This window comes from Homo sapiens, chromosome 19 (assembly GCF_000001405.40).
Source record: "Homo sapiens chromosome 19, GRCh38.p14 Primary Assembly".
NCBI classification, from domain to species: domain Eukaryota; kingdom Metazoa; phylum Chordata; class Mammalia; order Primates; family Hominidae; genus Homo; species Homo sapiens.
The window spans coordinates 44,114,996-44,136,015 of record NC_000019.10 but is presented as its reverse complement, the minus strand read 5'-3'; the positions used below and the strand labels follow the sequence as shown (position 1 = coordinate 44,136,015).

Here is a 21,020-nt window from a genome sequence, read left to right as displayed (position 1 = left end):
GCCTTCCAGGTTCAAGTGATTCTCCTGTCTCAGCCTCCTGAGTAGCTGGCACTATAGGTGTACACCACCACGCCTGGCTAATTTTTGTAGTTTTAGTACACACAGGGTTTCACCGTGTTGGCTAGGCTGGTCTCAAACTCCTGACCTCAAGTGATCCACCTGCTTCAGCCTCCCAAAGTGCTGCGATTATAGGCATGAGCCACTGTACCTGGCCAGAGCCATTGATGATATTATTGAGGATCTCTTGTACATGACAAGTCACTTTCATGCTGCTGCTTTCAAGATGTTCCTTGTCTTTTTGATTATAATGTGTCTCAGTGTGAGTCTCTTTGGATTTATCCTACTTGAAAACAAGAATTCAGTCACTGCCAAAATGTGTGATTATTTCTCTTTTTGAGTACACAGTCACAGAAGTTCATGACCATAGGTCCTTATGGAGATCTCTGGGGAAAAAATTAGTGCTGTAAATTTTTTGCAATCTAGCAGGGTCCATCCTTATCCAGAACTGCCCTCCCACCCCATCAAAGGAATTGTGGATTTGTAAAGTGGACATGTCTTGGAATTTATTTTTGGGCTGTGAGTCTGCATTAGACGATTCAAGTTACACTTTGGTTCACTTGAAATAGAAACCTTCTACCTATATAGATTATGTAACAATTTAATAGACTTCTCATAAACTTATTTTTTTGAGATGGAGACTCACTGTATCACCCAGGCAGGAGTACAGTGGCACGATTCTGGCTCACTGCAAACTTCCGCCTCCTAGGCTCAAGCGATTCTCCTGCCTCAGCCTCCTGAGTAGCTAGGATTGCAGGCGCACACCACCACACCTGGCATATTTTTTGTATTTTTAGTAGAGATGAGGTTTCACCACATTGGCTAGGCTGGTCTAAAACGCCGCCTCAGCCTCCCTAAATGCTGGAATTACAAGCGTGAGCCACCATGCCCATCCTCATCAATTTATTTATTATGTTATGGATAATAAGACCAACAAAGGAAGGTCAACTAACCTGACTTGAAGCCTCCCTCCTTTTTCAAATGCAGAGGAAGGATGATAATCTGTAATAATCCCCACCGATTGTGAAAATATAACCAAGTCAAAGTTATATTAGGGAACTCACCAGTGTCCACAAAAGAAAAAGGAAATCAAATCTGTGGTGAAAAATGGCAAAGAATATTAGCCCCACATAAGCTCAGGGTACTAGATATAGAACTAGGTATTTAATATTCAGCGTGGTTGGGAGAAACAGAAATATTAACAAGAAACACAATCAGTCCCACATGTTAACACCATGTTGTAACCAAGTTGATGATCCAGGACACACCAGAGAGCAGACATAGACCCTACCAAACTTTTAATAATTATAATAAGCAAGTATTTTCTGTTTAATCTGCTGAGTGTTCTGTTACAGTTACCTTGGAGATGAGCTATTCTGGTATCGGTGACAGTTAAAAACCAAAACACACAAAACAAAAAGAAGACTGAGCCAACAGTTTTCTAGTACTATGTGCACAAAAAGTTAATATAACAGGCCTGAGACTGCAAATCTTAGAAAGGACTGCTTATAAGACTGGCCTTTAGCTGGTGTTAGGAAACACGGAGTTTGAGAGGGTTGCCACCATTCCATAACTGGTAGGCATGGTTCAAGTTATTCTGAACACTTGCTCCCCTTCTTGGAGTCTAGAATCTTGATATGTACCAGAGGGATGGTACCTACATGATTAGTTCCAATAAGAACCTTTGGTACGGGTTGATAATTAATTTCCATTGTAGACATTTCACAAGTACAGTCACAATTCAATACTGGAGGAATTGAGACCTGTTACTCCATGCACAAAGGATCTTTACAAATTTACATCTGATTCCCTCCAGATATTATACAAGAACCTTTTCCCTTTGCTGATTATTTGTATCCTGTCACTATAATATAGTCATGAGTACAACTATATTCTGAGTCCTCTTAGCAAATCATAGAATCTGGAGAGATTGTCTTAGGGACCTCCAACCCACTATGCAAATTGAGACAGCATGGATCTTCATAAAGTACCTAGCATCCTGAAAAGATACAGTCTAGAACATTAAGTATAAAAATCAAATCTATCTCTAGTAGATTTGATTATAAAAATCAAATCTATCTCTAGTAGATTTGATTATAAAAATCAAATCTATCTCTGGTAGATTTGATTATAAAAATCAAATCTATCTCTAGTAGATTTGATTATAAAAATCAAATCTATCTCTAGAGATAGATTTTGCTGAAGAAAGCCTTTTAACCTAATGTACTCAAAATATCACCACGGTGTCTATGAATGGAATGGCGCTCAATCCTGCTCTTTGTCCTAACTGGTTCCAGACTGTTAGAGGCCGCACTGCTGTCATGCTATTGTTCCCTACCCATACACACCTTTTCTTAAAAGAATCTTTGTTGATTTTTTACATCCACATGTATACCCCTTGATTTCTATCTCCAGGATTTTTCCACTCCTTCACTTATGCTTAAAGCGAGCTCACATGCATTATGTATGAGGACAGCTGAAGACACTCACCAATTTTTCTCTATATTCAAACTAGAGAATTTTTTTTTGAAAACCAATTTCCACAATCTTATTCCTTAATTTTGAGTCATGTCATACTATTATATGATACTTGGTACATATCCAAAGAAAAGGAAATCAGTATGTTAAAGTGTTATCTCCACCCCCCCATGTTTATTGCAGCACCATTCACGATAGCCAAGAAATAGGCCAAGGTATGTAATCAACCTAAGTGTCCACTGGATGAATGAATAAAGAAAATGGGGCAAATATACACATCAGAGTACTATTTAGCCATGAAAAACAACAAAATTCTATCACTCACAGCAAAGTGAATGAGACTTACAGGGCATTATATTAAGTGATATATGCCAGGCACAGAAAGATACATACCACATGTTCTCACACATATGTGGAAGCTCAAAAAGTTAACTTCATAGAAGTAGAGAGTAGAATAGTAGTTCTTAGAGGTGAGGAGGCAGGGTGGTAGCCAAAGGTTGGTTAATGAATACAGAAATACAGGCAGGTAGGAGGAATAAGTTCTAGTGTTTTACACCACTACAGGGTGACAGTAATTAACAACGTATTATTTTCAAATAGCTAGGACAGTGAATTTTAAGGGTTCCCAACATAAATAAATGATAAATGTTTGAGGTGATAGGTATGTTAATTACACTGATTTGATCATTACACATTGTATACTTGCATTAACTATCACACTGTACCCCATAAATGAGTACAACAGTTATGTGTCATTTAAAAATAATGACAAAAGCGTATCAAGATTCAAGCGCCTCTTGTAGCGCTTCCCACAGTCCTCACATTTAGATGTTTTCTCTCCACTTTGGTCTCTTTGTTGGTCTTTAAGGCATGAACTGTGCACAATGCTCTTCCCACAGTCCTCACATTGAAGTAGTTTTTCTCTACTGTGGAGTCTCTGATGGGTTAGATGAGTTGAGGCCCATCTGAAGCTCTTTCCACACTTCTCACATTTGTATGGCTTTTCCCCAGTGTGAACCCTCTGATGGGAATGAAGCTGTGAATTCTCAGTAAATCTCTTCCCACACTCTTCACATTTGAATGGCTTTTCATCACCATGGAGTCTCTTATGATTCAAAATACTTGAGGCCCGGCTAAAGCTCTTCCCACATTCTTTACAATTATAAGGTCTCTCTCCGGTGTGGACCCTCTGGTGCATGTCAAGATTAAACTTACTGTTGAAGCCCTTCCCACACTCTTCACATTTGTATGGCTTTACTCCAGTGTGGACTCTGCGATGAGAATAAAGTTGTGAATTCTGAGTAAATCTTTTCCCACACTCTTCACATTTGAATGGTTTTTCTCCACTGTGGACTCTACGATGGGTATAAAGTTGTGAATTCTGAGTAAATCTTTTCCCACATTCTTCACATTTAAATGGTTTTTCTCCACTGTGGATTCTCTGATGATTCAAAAGACACGAGGCCCAGCCAAAGCTCTTCCCACATTCCTTACAATTATAGGGTTTCTCTCCTCTGTGGACCCTCTGATGAAAGTCAAGATCCAACCTCCTTTTGTAGCCCTTCCCACACTCCTCACATCTATATGGCTTTTCTCCACTGTGCGCTCTCTGGTGAGAATAACGTTGTGAATTTGTATAAAATCCCTTCCCACATTCTTCACATTTGAATGTTGTCTCTCCACTGTGGACTCGCACATGTCTTGAAAGACCTGAGGCCCATCTGAAGCTCTTTCCACATTCTTTACAATTATATGGCTTCTCCCCTGTGTGGTCTATCTGATGCTTATAAAGATCTTGCCTATAAATGAAGCGTTTTCCACATTCCTCACATTTGTACCGTTTCTCTCCTGTGTGGACCATGCGATGACTATTAAGTGCTGATTTCAGACCAAAGCTCTTACCACATGTATCACATCTGAATGGTTTCTCTCGCATGTGAACCATGGAATGCCTATTAAGATTTGCTCTACTACGGAAGCTCTTACAACATATATCACATTTGAATGGCTTCTCCCCAGTATGGATTCTTTGATGTTCCTGAAGCTGGGAATCATGAATGAAGGCCTTCCCACATTTCTCACAAATATGAGGTTTCACTCCTGTGTGTAATTTACGATGAACATAAAGTCCTGATCTACGACTAAAGCCTTTCCCACACTGCTCACATTTGAATGGTTTCTCTCCAGTGTGGATTCTCTGATGAATTTGCAGATGTGAGCTCTGATTGAATTCCTTACCACACACATCACAATTATAGAGTTTCTCCCCCATGTGAACTCTCTGATGAATACGAAGAGCTGAGCTATAACAGAAACTCTTTCCACATTCATCACATGTATGAGACTTCTCTCTTGACTGTAGTTGTTGATGAAGATCAAGGACGGAGACATCACTAAAGGACTTTTTACACGTCCTACCCTCAGAAGGTTTCTGTCTTACGTGAATTATAGATAGTCCTGCATCAACCTGGCAGGGCATATCATCTTGTTTGGAGAACTGAAAGCTGTTTACCATGGAGTCTTGAAACCTGGTTAAGTCACTTGAAATTTGTTCCCAGGTTTGATGACTGAACAAGCCTTCATGTGTTCCTGATTCTGAAACAGTCTCCATCTCCATTTGGATCTTGCCTCCTATAATGACACAGAATTAAGAGATGTGGGCAAGTAAAGCTTTTATTCAGTGTTATCAAGATTTCATACTTAGGACATAGCCTGAAATTTTAATAAATATAGGGAATGTTCAGATTGTATTTTCCTTTTTTTTTTTTTTTTTTTTTTTTGAGATGGAGTCTCGCTCTGTCCCCCAGGCTGGAGTGCAGTGGCGTGATCTCCGCTCACTGCAAGCTCCACCTCCTGGGTTGTTCACACCATTCTCCCGCCTCAGCCTCCTCAGTAGCTGGGACTATAGGCGCCCGCCACCACGCCCAGCTAATTTTTTGTATTCTTAGTACAGATGGGTTTTCACTGTGTTAGCCAGGATGGTCTCGATCTCCTGACCTCGTGATCCGCCCTCCTCAGCCTCCCAAAGTGCTGGGATTACAGGTGTAAGCCACTGCGCCCAGCCCTGTATTTTCCTTTTTTAAAGAGAGTGTCTCCCTCTGTCACCCAGGCTGGAGTGCAGGGACACAATCATGGCTCGCTGCAGCCTTGACCTCCTGGGCTCAAGTGATCCTCCCACCTCTGCCTCCTGAGTAGCTAGGACTACAGGCACATACCACCATAACTAGCTAATTTTTACACTTTTTGTAGAGACAAGGTCTTGCTATGTTGCCAAGGCTGGTCTTGAACTCCTGGCCACAAGTGATACTCCCATTTTGGCCTCCCAAAGTGCTGGGATTACAGGCTTGAGCCACTGTGCCCAGCCAATGTGTTTTCCAGGTACACTATGGACTCTGGTTTGCATGAGACCAATTCAGAACCACACCACGTGTCATATGTGAAATACTTGGTAGAAATAAAACCTTGCATGGTAAATTATGTAACTAATAAATTATGTAAACAGTGAAATATGAATCAAATGTGAACTTTAAGGAGAAGCCATAACATCGTCAAAACTTTGTATATTTTAGTTTGTATTGTATATCCTTATGAAGTAAAGAAATTATCCTAAGTCACAAAGAGGCCTGGGTGATGTCCTCAGCATCTGAGAGGCAATCTCTCAGTCCTTAAAATGTCATGCCCTAGGAGAGTGTCTTTGTTTGCCTGGAGGTAGTAGGTCTAGTAAGTCACTCTGGACGGTGTAATTCTACGATTTAGGATTATGGGTGGCCACACCTATGAGGAGAATGTGGTGCTCACTATGTGAGAAAGACCAACAATGTGATTTATGGTGAGGCTTTAGGTCATGTGGAATCAGTCAACCAGGAGACTGAGACTACTCATACGGGAAAGAAATCAACCAATAATGGCTATGTAATTAACAGACAACGATTACTCTGAATACCAGGGCTCAGGAAAGCTTCCCTGATAGGCTCTCCTCCCGTCTAATGTCACACCTTAATCTTGGGGATGTAATGCATCCTGATTTCATGGGGAGAGTACAATAAAAAGTTCTCATTTGATACTTCCCTGGACTCTGTCTTACTTGATTTTTCTCCTAATTGTAATATGCATCTTTCCCCTATAAAAACCCATAATTTTAAGAATATGGAACATGAAAATAATTTGGGGAAACCACTGAATTTGTCATTGGTATGCAGTGACAGCAGTCTTCTGTGAGCTGTCACTTTAAACTTTGCAATTGGTTAAGCTCTTCACAATACTAAATATCAAATACCTAGGAGTATTTATGTCTACATTTTCAGAGTATTCCTGTACAAGAATTTTTGCAGAACATGTATAATCTCATTTGTCTGTACTGATATGAACAATAACTTGGTTACCTGAAATAGAAAAGGATCAGAAACCTTCAGTTTTGATGGGAATCTGAAAGGCTGGACCTGACAGAAATACACAAAGGGGGATGATCCTGATGAGACAATGAAAGTTGGTAAGATCACCTGGGATGAAAAGAACGCCTAAGGGGTCATGCCCTGATTGGTTCCATGTGAAGTTATTGGACTGTCTCATTGAAAACAGATAGCAGAAAAAATATGATGTAAAGAAACAGACCTTTATACCCATTTTCAAAATAAACACTACAGACTCTTAGTGAGCTGTAAAATAAATCTGAAACCTTCTAAAAAGCATTTAGGAAAAAGAACCAGAATAGAAATTATCATAGCATCGTGACAAACAGGAAAGGTGCCATTATATGAAATGCCTACTAAAGGTACTCATACACATCTACATGCACAAAATATTTTCATCCTGGTGATGATGAAAGATGTATTTCTTACTATGGCTCATGGTCATAAAACATTGAAAATCTTGGTCAGGATATTACCACATTCTGAATTAAGTAAATCAATCAAATGGAAAGTTAATTTTCAATGGCTGAATCTTAGGAAACATTAGTAAGTAAGTGTGTACCTACTGGTGCACATTAGTACATGGATATAATTAAAACATCATCCCTTATAAATAAGAGATTTTTGGGAAGAAGGAGGAGTCTCTTTCAGGATGTTAACATTTTGAGAGGGCAGTTTCCTGATTCCTTCCAGGATATAAAGTTCACCAGTTCAAAATACAGCACCATGTCTCTATACAAAGAAAAGGAAGACTGTACGAAATCTGTATTCTTTAACATGTTTAACAAATTTGTAAAAAATAAAGATGCAGAAATATATACCACGCTATCAAACAAAGATGACTAGAAATACAGGCAACATTCAGATGTGTGACTTGTGTCACCCTTATCCTCATTCTTCTTTCTCTAGGAGAAGGAAAGAGAAACCGGGGGTTGGTGATGTACATGTACATTGGTGATGTACATTGGAAGAGGCAAACAGGCTGCAGATGGGTAAATCTCTCGAAGGAAAGGTAGCTGGAAAGCTGGTTATTTTCTGAGACATCAGAGAATTGAAAGTTTTTTCCCCTTGTATAGGAGAGCTGTTTCAGAAGGAGACATCAGAATCTTCCTTTGAAAAGGTTTTTTTTGGCTAGGAGTGGTGGCTCATTCCCTGCAATCCCAGCACTTTGGGAGGCCGAGGTGGGCAGATCACCTGAAGTCAGGTATTTGAGACCAGCTTGGCCAACATGGTGAAACTCTGTCTCTACTAAAAAATACAAAAAAATTAGCTGGGCATGGTGGCATATACCAGCTACTTGGGAGGCTGAGGCAGGAGAATCACTTGAACCCGGGACACGGAGGCTACAGTGAGCCGACATGGCACCACTGCACTCCAGTCTGTGTGACAGAGGCAGACTCCGTCTCAAAAAATAAAATAAAATAAAATAAAGAAAGAAAAATAAAATAAAAGGTTTCTTTCCACGGATGAATATTCTCCCTACAAAAAGCTCCAAGACAAGATCATCATGGCGGACGGAAGGCAGGACTAGATTGCAGCTCCAACTCAGACGGACAGTGCGGCATACAGAGTCTCCCATTGCGAATTTTACCTCCAGATCAACTGCAAAAACAAACTAGCAATCCCAAGAGGACCCACAGACCCTCTGAAGGAAGTGGACTGCTCCTGCAGGACCCTGGAGACACCCCAAATACTGTGAGTGCCCCAACTGTGGAAGTGAGAAAAAGCCTCCTCTACTGAACACACACCCTCACTGGAGAAACTGAAGGTCTGTTTGTGGGAGAAGTTTCCGACCTTACCTGGAGCTGAGTCAATTTAGAGAGCTGAGTAAGATACAGGGGTAGACAAAGCAACAGAAAGGCCTTGGGACCTCGTTGGGTCCCTAAGCAGGCCATTCTTGCCTGGCATCACAGGGATCCATCAGGAAGGCAGCCAGAGGAGCAGGGGGTGGGGAACTCCACAAGGAGAAAGAAGTATCCAGCTGAACTTTATAACAGTTTGAACCAGGCAAGAAGCCTCCTGGCCAGAACTTGGGGGAGGGTGTGAATCCAGTGTGCAGACTCACAGGCAGGGGAAGACCCAAGCCCTTTTCTTTTGCAGCTGAGAGGTGGTAGCCTGGGGCAAGGTCTCAAGCCCAGCTTGCCCACTGCCTGGAAACAGACTCAGGGCTGTTAGTGGGGGCATGGTGGGAGTGAGACCGGCCCTTTGGTTTGCATGGGAGCTGGGTGAGGCCTATGACTGCCAGCTTTCCCCTACTTCCCAGACAATTTGCATGACTCAGCAGAGGCAGCCATAATCCTCCTAGGTACACAACTCCAGTAACCTGGGAACCTCACCCACATCCCCTACAGCAGCCACAGCAAGACCCACCCAAGGAGAGTCTGAGCTCAGACACACCTAGCCCTCCCCCTCCCTGATGGTCCTTCCCTACCCACCCTGGTAGCTGAAGACAAAGGGCATATAATCTTGGGAGTTCTAGGGCCTCATCCACCTCTGGCTCCTCTCCATACTACCACAGCTGATGCTCTCTGGAAAGTGCCACCTCCTAGAGGGAGACCAACCAGCACAAAAATAAAGCATTAAACCACCAAAGCTAAGAAACCTCACGGAGTCCATTGCACACCCCCACCACCTCCACTGGAACAGGCGCTGATATCTATGGTTGAGAGACCCACAGACAGTTCATATCACAGGACTCTGTGCAGACAGCCCCCAGTACCAGCCCAGAGCTGGGTAGACTTGCTGGGTAGCTAAACCCAGAATAGAGACAACAATCACGGCAGTTTGGCTCACAGGAGGCCACATCCATAGGAAAAGGGGGAGAGTACTACATCAAGGGAACACCCTGTGGGACAAAAGAATCTGAACAACAGCCTTCAGCCCTAGACCTTACCTCTGACAGAGCCTACCCAAATGAGAAGGAACCAGAAAACCAACTCTGGTAATATGACAAAACAAGGCACTTTAACATCCACCAAAATATCACACTAGTTCACCAGCAATGGATCCAAACCAAGAAGAAATCCCTGATTTACCTGAAAAGGAATTCAGGAGGTTAGTTATTAAGCTAATCAGGGAGGCACCAGAGAAAGGTGAAGCCCAGCACAAGGAAATCCAAAAAATGATACAATAAGTGAAGGGAGAAATATTCAAGGAAATAGATAGCTTAAATAAAAAAAAATAAAAAATTCAGGAAACACTGGACACACTTATAGAAATGCAAAATGCTCTGGAAAGTCTCAGCAATAGAATTGAACAAGTAGAAGAAAGAAATTCAGAGCTTGAAGACAAGTTCTTCGAATTAACCCAATCCAACAAAGACAAAGAAAAAAGAATAAGAAAATATAAACAAAGCCTCAAAGAAGTATGGGATTATGTTAAAGGACCAAACCTAAGAATAATCAGTGTTCCTGAGGAAGAAGAGAATTCTAAAAGCTTGGAAAACATATTTGGGGAAATAATCGAGGAAAACTTGCCCAGCCTTGCTAGACACCTAGACAACCAAATACAAGAAGCACAAAGAACACTTTGGAAATTAATTGCAAAAAGATCATTGCCTAGGCACATTGTCATCAGGTTATCCAAAGTTAAGACGAAGGAAAGAATCTTAAGAGCTGTGAGACAGAAGCACCAGGTAACCTATAAAGGAAAACCTATCAGATTAACAGCAGATTCCTCAACAGAAACCCTACAAGCTAGAAGAGATTGGGGCCCTATCTTCAGCCTCCTTAAACAAAACAATTATCAGCCAAGAATTTTGTATCCACCAAAACTAAGCATCATATATGAATGGAAGATACAGTCTTTTTCAGACAAACGCTGACAGAATTTGCCACTACCAAGCCACCACTACAAGAACTGCTAAAAGGAGCTCTAAATCTTGAAACAAATCCTGGAAACACATCAAAACAGAACCTCTTTAAAGCATAAATCACACAGGACCTATACAACAAAAACACATATTAAAAAGCAAAAACAAAAAAATACAAAAACCAAAGTACACAGGCAACAAATAGCAAGATGAATGCAACGGCACCTCACATCTCAATACTAACATTGAATGTAAATGGCCTAAATGCTCCACTTAAAAGATACAGAACTGCAGAATGGATATGAGCTCACCAACCAACCATCTGCTGCCTTCAGGTGACTCACCTAACATGTAAGGAGTCATATAAACTTAAAGTAAAAGGGTGGAAAAGGCATTTTATGCAAATGGACACCAAAAATGAGCAGGGGTAGCTATTCTGATATCAGACAAAACAAACTTTAAAGCAACAGCAGTTAAAAGAGACAAAGAGGGACATTATATAATGTAAAAGGCCTTGTCCAACAGGAAAATATCATAATCCTAAACATATATGCACCTAACACTGGAACTCCCAAATTTATAAAACAATTACTAATAGACCTAAGAAATGTGGTAGACAGCAACACAATAATAGTGGGGGACTTCAATACCCCACTGACAGCATCAGACAGGTCATCAAGAAAGAAAGTCAACAAAGAAACAAAGAATTTAAACTATGTCTTGCAACAAATGGACTTAACAGATATATACAGAACATTTCATCCAATAACCACAGAATACACATCCTATTCAACAGCATATGGAACTTTCTCCAAGAGAGACCATATGATAGGCCATAAAACGAGCCTCAATTAATTTAAGAAAACTGAAATTATATCAAGCACTCTCTCAGACCACAGTGGAATAAAACTGGAAATCAACTCCAAGAGGAACCTTCAAAACCATGCAAATACATGGAAATTAAATAATCTGCTCCTGAATGACCATTGGGTCAAAAATGAAATCAAGATAGAAATTAAAAAATTATTCAAACTGAAAGACAATAATGACACAACCCATGAAAACCTCTGGGATACAGCTAAGATGGTGCTAAGAGGAAAGTTCATAGCCCTAAATGCCTACATCAAAAAGACTGAAAGAGCACAAACTTACATTCTAAGATCACACCTCAAGGAACTAGAGAAACAAGAACAAACCAAACCCAAACCCAGCAGAAGAAAGGAAAGAACCAAGATCAGAGCAGAAATAAATGAAATTGAAACAAAACAAAACAAAACAAAACAAAACAAAAAATACAAAAGATAAATGAAACAAAAAGCTGGTTCTTTGAAAAGATAAATAAAATTGATAGGCCATTAGCAAGATTACCCAAGAAAATAAGCGAGAAAATCCAAATAACCTCACTAAGAAATGAAACAGGAGATATTACAACTGACACCACTGCAATACAAAAGATCATTCTAGGCTACTGTGAACACCTTTACACACATAAACTAGAAAACCTGGAAGAGGTGGATAAATTCCTGGAAAAATGCAACCCTCCTGGCTTAAATCAGGAAAAATTAGATATCCTGAACAGACCAATAACAAGCCATGAGATTGAAATGGTAATTTAAAAATTACAAACAAAAAAAGTCCAGGACCAGATGGATTCCCAGCAGAATTCCACCAGACACTCAAAGAAGAATTGATACCAATTCTTTTGACGCTATTTCACAAGATAGAGAAAGAAGGAACCCTTCCTAATTCATCCTAGGAAACCAGCATCACCCTAATACCAAAACCAGGAAAGAACATAATCAAAAAAGAAAACTACAGACCGATATCCTTGATGAACATTGATGCTAAAATCCTTAACAAAATACTAGGTAACTTAATCCAACAACATATCAAAAAGATAATCCATCATGATCAAATGGGTTTCATGCCAGGGATGCAGGGATGGTTTAACATACCCAAGTCAATAAATGTGATACACCACATAAACAGAATTAAAAATGAAAATCACTTGATCATCTCAATAGATGTAGAAAAAGCATCTGACAAAATCCAGCAACGCTTTATGATTAAAACTCACAAAATCGGCATACAAGGGACATACCTCAATGTAATAAAAGCCATCTATGACAAACCCACAGCAAACATAACACTGAATAGGGAAAAGTTGAAAGCATTCCCTCTGAGAACTGGAACAAGACAAGAACATCTGCTCTCACCACTCCTCAACATAGTACTGGAAGTCCTAGCCAGAGCAATCAGACAAGAGAAAGAAATAAGGGGCACCCAAATCGGTAAAGAGGAAGTCAAACTGTCACTGTTCGCTAATGATATGATCATCTACATTGAAAATCCTAAAGACTCCTCCAGAAAGCTCCTGGAACTGATAAAAGAATTCAGCAAAGTTTCTGGATACAAGATTAATGTACACAAATCAGTAGCTCTTCTACACACCACCAGCAACCAAGCAGAGAATCAAATCAAGAACCCAACCCCTATTATAATAGTTGCAAAAAAAATCAAATACTCAGGAATACACCTAACCAAGGAGTCAAAAGACCTCTACAAGGAAAACTACAGAATGCTGCTGAAAGAAATCATACATGACACAAACAAATGGAAACACATCTCATGCTCATGGATGGGTGCAATCAATATTGTGAAAATGACCATACTGCTAAAAGCAATCTACAAATTAAATGCAATCCCTATCAAAACATCACCATCATTCTTCATAGAATTAGAAAAAAAATGCTAAAATTCATACGGAACCAAAAAAGAGCTCGCAGAGCCAAAGCAAGACTAAAGCAAAAAGAACAAATCTGGAGGCATCACACTAACTGATTTCAAACTATACTATAAGACCATAGTCACCAAAACAGCATGGTACTGGTATAAAAATAGGCACATAGACCAAAGGAACAGAATAGAGAACCCAGAAATAAACCCAAATCCTTACAGCCAATTGATCTTCGACAAAGCAAACAAAAACATAAAGTGGGGGAAAGGACACCCTTTTCAACAAATGATGCTGGGATAATTGGCTAGCCACATGTAGGAGAATGAAACTGGATCTTCATCCCTCACCTTATACAAAAATCAATTCAAGATAGATTAAGGACTCAAATCTAAGACCTGAAACTATAAAAATTCTAGAAGGTAACATTGGAAAAATCCTTCTAGACATTGGCTTAGGCAAGGATTTCATGATCAAGAACCCAAAAACAAATGCAATAAAAACAAAGATAAATAATTGGGACCTAATTAAACTAAAGAGCTTTTGCACAGCAAAAGGAACAGTCACCAGAATAAACAGACAACCCACAGAGTGGGAGAATATCTTTACAATCTGTACATCTGACAAAGGACTAATATCCAGAATCTACAACAAACTCAAACAAATCAGTAAGAAAAAAACCAAACAACCCCATCAAAAAGTGGGCTAAGAACATGAATAGACAATTTTCAAAAGAAGATATAGATGGCCAACAAACATATTTTAAAAAGCTCAAAATCACTAATGATCAGGGAAATGCAAATCAAAACCACAATGCGATACCACCTTACTCCTGCAAGAATGACCATAATCAAAAATCAAAAAAACAGTAGATGTTGGCATGGATGTGTTGTTCAGGGAACACTTCTGCACTGCTGGTGGGAATGTAAACTAGTACAGCCACTATGGAAAACAATGTGGAAATTCCTTAAAGAACTAAAAGTAGAACTACCATTTGATCCAGCAATCCCACTACTGGGTATCTATCCAGAGGAAAAGAAGTCATTACACGAAAAAGATACTTGCACATGCATGTTTACAGCAGCACAATTCAAAATTGCAAAATCGTGGAACCAACACAAATGCCCATCAATCAACGAGTGAATAAAGAAAACTGTGGTATTATATACAATGGAATACTACTCAGCCATAAAAAGGAATGAATTAATAGCATTTGCAGCAACCTGGATGAGACTGGAGACTATTATTCTAAGTGAAGTAACTCAGGAATGGAAAACCAAACATCATATATTCTCACTGATATGTGGGAGCTAACCTACGAGGATGCAAAGGCATAAGAATGAGACAATGGCCTGTAATCCCAGCACTTTGGGAGGCCGAGGCGGGTGGATCACGAGGTCAGGAGATCGAGACCATCCTGGCTAACACGGTAAAACCCGTATCTACTAAAAATATAAAAAAAATTAGCAGGGCATCGTGGCGGGCGCCTGTAGTCCCAGCTACTTGAGAGGCTGAGGCAGGAGAATGGCGTGAACCTGGGAGGCGGAGCCTGCAGTGAGCCGAGATGGCACCACTGCACTCCAGCCTGGGCAACAGAGCGAGACTCTGCTTAAAAAAAAAAAAGAGAGAAATGGACTTTGGGGACTTGCGGGAAAGAGTGGGAGGAGGGCGAGAGACAAAAGACTACAAATATGGTGCAGCATATACTGCTCGGGTGATGAGCGCACCAAATTCTCACAAGTCGCTAAAGAACTTATGTAACCAAATATCACCTATACCCCAATAACTTGTGGAAAATTTTTAAAAAATAAAAATAAAAACATAAAGCTCCAAGACAAGTCAGAGAGAAGGCATAATACTCAGTGTGGCCATAAAAAGAACACTTAGAAGTTTCCATGGGATGTAGGTGAACTGCACATACCTAAAAATAGTATCCCAACAAGGAATCCTAAGAAAGTTCTAATTAGATAGGCAGCCATCAAAAGACAGAAACATGTTCTGCAATAGCTCTCATTCACTCTAGTTTGTGTATCACTTATTAGCTATCTATCTCCATGATTCCTGGAGACACTGAAGTTCCCCTCATCCATTAATTTATTTATCAGGATAACAAATAATTAGATACCTGCCATGTACCAGAACAATACCTTCTAGCCTGTGAATAGACAGCCATGAGCAAAACAGCTAAAATTCATCCTCTTAGACATCACATTCCTGGGGGTAAAAGTGACAGGTAAACAGAAATATATAAGACACAGTGCAAGACAGCACAAGAAGAAAAAAATAGAACAGTGTTTTGTTTGTTTTTTTGAGACAGAGTCTTACTTTGTCACCAAGGCTGGAGTGCGGTGGCGCCATCTCGGCTCACTGCAACCTCCGCTTCCTGGGTTCAAGTGATTCTCCTGCCTCAGCCTCCCGAGTAACTGAGACTACAGGCACACACTACCACGCCTGGCAAATTTTGTATTTTTAGTAGAGATGGGATTTCACCATGTTGGCCAGGCTGGTCTCAAACTCCTGATCTCAGTGATCCACCCACCTTGGTCTCCGAAAGTAGTGGGATTACAGGCGTGAGCTACCGCGCCTGGCCTAGAATAGTATTTTAAATAGGGTGGTTGGAAATGGCCTCTCTAAAACTGAACAGAGACTTGAATATGCTTAAAGGAGAAGCCAGAAAGTTTTGAGGTGAAAGAGTATTCTGATCAGACAGAAAAGCAAGTAAGGGCTCTGAGGCAGAAGCTTCAGTAGTAGACAGAACAATGATTCATAAAAGATGTCCACATCCAGTACCCAAGACCTATGAACATGTTATATTACACAGCAAGGGGGACTGGGATTGCAGATGCAATTAAGGTCACTAATCAGCTAACAAGAAAGAGAGGTCATTGTGAATCATCCAGGGGTAACCAACACAATTACAAGGAACCTGAAAGGCAGGAGAGAGAGGCATAAGAAGAGTGGCAGAGTGAGCATGACTATGGAAGAAGGGTCAGAAATGCAAAGTAGCTGCCTTTGAAGATGGAGGAAGGGAAACAAGAGCCAAGGAATGCCTAGAGACTGGTAAACCAAAATAAAGGCTTCTCCTCAAGAGCATCCAGAAAGAAACAAACACCTACAGACAGCTTGATAATTGTCCGGTGAGACGTGTCAGACTTCAGGCCTAAAGAACAGAAAGATGATAAATTTTTGTTGTTTAGTCGACTAAATGTGTGGTCATTGGTTACTACAACAGGCAATACAGTGTCCTTGGCAGGTCAGAGAAACGGTAGGGAGGACAACGTGGCTGGAAGGACAAGGCAAAAGGGAGAGGACAGGAGATGTAGTCAGAGAGGTGGTGGGGGATGAAAAGCAGATCACATGGTCTCTAAAAGGCACTTAAAACACTTGTAACTTAAGTAAACATAAGAAGCCAGCCGGGCGCGGTGGCTCACGCCTGTAATCCCAGCACTTTGGGAGGCCAAGGCGGGCGGATCACGAGGTCAGGAGATCGAGACCATCCTGGCTAACACGGTGAAACCCCGTCTCTACTAAAAATACAAAAAATTAGCCGGGCGTGGTGGCGGGCATCTGTATTCCCAGCTACTCAGGAGGCTGAGGCAGGAGAATGGCGTGAACCCGGGAAGCGGAGCTTGCAGTGAGCCGAGATTGCACCACTGCACTCCAGCCTGGGCGACACAGCGAGACTCCATCTCAAAAAAAAAAAAAAGAAGCCAGAAAGGCTTTTGAGCCGAGGAATGGCAGTCTGACTTTCCTAAGGAATACATTGGCTGCCATGAGGAAAACAGATGTCAGGGTGGGAAAAGTGGGAGCAGGGAAACCAGCCGAAAGTCAGCTGTAATAATTCAGGAAAGAGGTCTGGCCATTTAGACCAGGACAACAGAGCTGGGCAATGGACAGAAGTGAAACCGATGGGAGAGTCACGCACAAGGACACAGAGTTGCTTGCTTCTTACCTAAATTCCCTTCTCTTTGGGTTGCTGTCTCCATCATCCAAAACTTTTCTTCCTTTAGGAAGTGGAAAGTATCTCTGTGGAGTGATTGATGCCCTGTGAACGTGAAAAGTCATGTGCTTAGTGCCAATATATCCTAGAAAAAAATCTAAGTAAAATTTACTGGAAACTTAGGTTCCCAATGCATACTCAAACTTGAACACTCTAGGATACAAAGCCACTCCTGGTCCTGATGTTCCCTTACAAAGGGTGCCTGTCCTCACCCACTGAGAGCAGGTTCCTGAAGTTCTCCAGCATCACTTCTCGGTACAGTTTCCTCTGGGCAAGGTCCAGCAGCCTCAGCTCTTCCTCAGTGAAGACCACAGCCACGTCCTTGAAGGTCACTGCCTCCTACAGCATCGAACATATGCAACCTCAGTCTCATGACCAATGACTACTGAGAGAGGGGTGGCACTGAGCAGACAGAGGGGAGGAATGAGAAGCTGTTTTGGATCTTGAGAGACATAGGTCAACACACAGACTTCCTTTTTTATTATTTTATTTTATTTATTTATTTATTTTGAGACAGTCTTGCTCTGTTGCCCGGGCTGGAGTGCAGTGGCATGATCTTGGCTCACTGCAACCTCCGATTCCCAGGTTCAAGTGATCCTCCCGCCTCAGCCTCCCAAGTAGCTGGGATTACAGGTGCCTGCCACCATGCCTGGCTAATTTTTGTATTTTTAATAGAGATGGGGTTTCACCACATTGGCCAGGCTGGTCTCAAACTCCTGACCTCAGGTGATCCGCCTGCCTCGGCCTCCCAAAGTGCTGGGATTACAGGCATGAGCCACTGCGCCCAGCCAGCTCATAGATTTGCTATTCATTCTGTCTGTATCCTGATAATGATGGATTTTCCTGAGCTCCACCAGAAGTGCAGTGATGGAAAAGACCTCCTGTAGGTTTACTTTGTGCACTTACTGAGTCTCCTTGTAAGTAACCCTGTAGGACTCTAAATGCAGCATCCTGGGCTGCACGTATATAGGTTTCAGTGAATCTTGCCAACTGCCCCAGTAACATTTAACAATTCAGTCCCAGTCTTGCCTGATAATTCCCATTGTTCTCTCTCATACTTGAACCCTGAATGTTATCATTTTTCTTTAATATCTGCCACCAAACTAACAAAGCTTGTGGTAACCTGTGTGGGACAGCTATACAGTACATCCTGTGTACTCTCAAGGCATAAACTACATACATTGATTGCAGCATTGATCTATGATCTGCAGACAGTGTGCCTAAAAGCACATCCCAAGGCTCTGTGCCTTCCTGGTCACATGACCTTGGACAAGTTCACCTATTTACTCCCTCTCTAATAATTTTCATATTATAGTTTTTTCAATGATTAAACAAGGAAATACATGCAGCATTGGGAAAGTTGATCAGTGCAGACTAAATACCTAATAAACACTAGCTTTTTAAAATTTTTTTTATTATTATTGTCATTGTTGCCATCTATTTTATCTCATTTCATGTCTGCATAGTATTCCAAAGAATTGATAATCTATTTTTATCTACTCTAAATAATCTTTAATTTTATATATGCTCATTAATACCAATCCTGTAAAAAAAAACATTTTGGGTAGATTTTACTACTGTTTATTTAAAATAATTTTAAATGAAAATTAAAATGTCAATAAATAGGCATATTTAAAATTGTGATCATATAATATCAGGTCTCAATTTTTTACCAAACCCTAATCTTTCAAGAGGATACGTGTACACTGATTTGTCTTACCATAACCAAGAGCAGGTTATCAATTTTCCCATGATTTTTGTAATCATATTAGGAAGAATTTAACAGTCTCACTTATTTGATTATAAATAATACCATCACCTTTTCAAATATTTATTGGCCATCTCAATTTCTCCTTTTAAACTTGCCTGTTAATGTCTTTTATTCACATTCCTTTGGATTTTCTTTTTCTATTCTGTACATAAGATTCTTATTTTGGATTTTATCTGTTTCAAATATACAAGTAGTGAATATTTTTGCTCTAGGCTGTTATATTTTCTGGTAACATTGTGTGAGGTACCCTTTACCATACTGAAAGTAAAGATTTTCTATCATGACTATGGTTATCACTGTCCTTGGGTGCCTGGAGCACTGGGTGCATCTGAGTAGGTGTCATGTCAGGAAGAAAGAAGATCACCCCAAAATGGTGCCTGGGAGGAGCAGTGCCACCTGTGGACGCTGGCTCTCGTGTTGGCACAACACAACAGGCTATAACTGCTTAACTGCTGCTTCACACAAGGATTATTGGAGGTGTTCACACGGGAAGAGCTAGATTCTGTTTGTCCCATGCTATATCTCTGTTGTACTCCCTAAGTCTTCCCAAGACTGAGAAGAACCTGTGAGAATATGAGTAGTGAGAAGAAATACGGCCGGGCACGGTGGCTCACATCTGCAATTCCAGCACTTTGGGAGGCTAAGGCAGGCAGATCACCTGAGGTCAGGAGTTTGAGAACAGCCTGGCCAAGATGATGAAACCCCGTCTCTACTAAAAATACAAAAATTTTCTGGGTGTGGTGGTGTGTGCCTGTAGTCCCAGCTACTTGGGAGGCTGAAGCAGGAGAATCACTTGAACTCCGGAGGTGGAGGTTGCAATGAGCCAAAATCAGGCCACTGCACTCCAGCCTTGGCGACAGAACAAGTCTCCATAAAAGAAATTTTAACAGCAAGAGAGGCAAGCTCTACTCACCTTCAACGTGGTCATTTTTCCTCCTATTTCAGGGAATATTCAGAGTCCTGAGTGATACAGTCCAAGGGAAAGCAGAATCCTGCCTGGAAAGTACCAGGGAAGGCAGAAAAAGAGACATGAAAGTGTGGCCAGGGATGCCATCCACCAACACGAATGTGTATTGTAAATTAACACATGAATGTTCCCAACAGCATCATTCATAGTAACCCAAAACTGCACACCAACAAACTCCCTCCTATGCGTACATGGATAGACAAATTGTGGCCTATCCATACAATGGAATCTTATTTGGAAATTAAAAGGAATGAAGTACTGATTCATGCTACAACACGCATGAACTTTGGAAACATTATGCTAAGTGAAAGAAGCCAGTCACATAGGAAGGCCCACATATTGCATGATCCTATATCTATGAAATTCCAGAGTAGGCAAGTGTATATAACGAGAAAGTAGATAGGTGGTCTCTGCATATTTGAGGTGACAAAGAGGATTAACTATAAGTGAGCACAAGGAGGCTTAATGGGGGATGAAAATTATTTAAACTGAATTATGGTGATGTTTATTCCACTCCACAAAGTTCCTAAAAATCATTAAAGTGTACACACGAAATGGGTAGTTTCTATGATATGTAGAATACACCTCAATAAAGTTGGACAAAGCATTGGTAATTGTTCATCCACATGTCATTTAACTTAATAAGACTGGATTCTGGATCTACACTGATAGAATATTTATAGTTGAATGAATGAATAAGCAAATGAAGGAGAAGGGAGAGTTCACCTTTACAGTAGAATGTGCACTAATAAATGTATTTCTCCTTACAAAATTTTATTTAACTAAAAAATTA

The 21,020-nt window shown here is 40.7% G+C and overlaps 1 protein-coding gene across 5 annotated transcripts in view; it reads right to left on the bottom strand.

Annotated features, from left to right (window-relative positions):
* Positions 1–1,193: 1,193 nt before the first annotated feature.
* The window catches only part of ZNF225 (zinc finger protein 225), a 23,398-nt gene continuing 3,571 nt past the window's right edge, over positions 1,194–21,020 (bottom strand). For 4 of the 5 annotated variants that reach the window (XM_011527286.3, XM_011527285.3, NM_001321685.2 and 1 more), the window contains 4 exons: positions 20,174–20,256; positions 17,702–17,828; positions 17,442–17,534; positions 1,194–5,166 (listed from right to left, as the gene is read on the bottom strand). In XM_011527286.3, the coding sequence (XP_011525588.1) occupies positions 3,281–5,166; positions 17,442–17,534; positions 17,702–17,828; positions 20,174–20,188 (2,121 nt within the window). In that variant the 5' untranslated portion in view covers positions 20,189–20,256 and the 3' untranslated portion in view covers positions 1,194–3,280. Of the gene's footprint in view, positions 5,167–6,917; positions 6,975–17,441; positions 17,535–17,701; positions 17,829–20,173; positions 20,257–21,020 lie in introns of those variants that run through there. The other variant, XM_005259223.4, reaches the window with a different exon arrangement.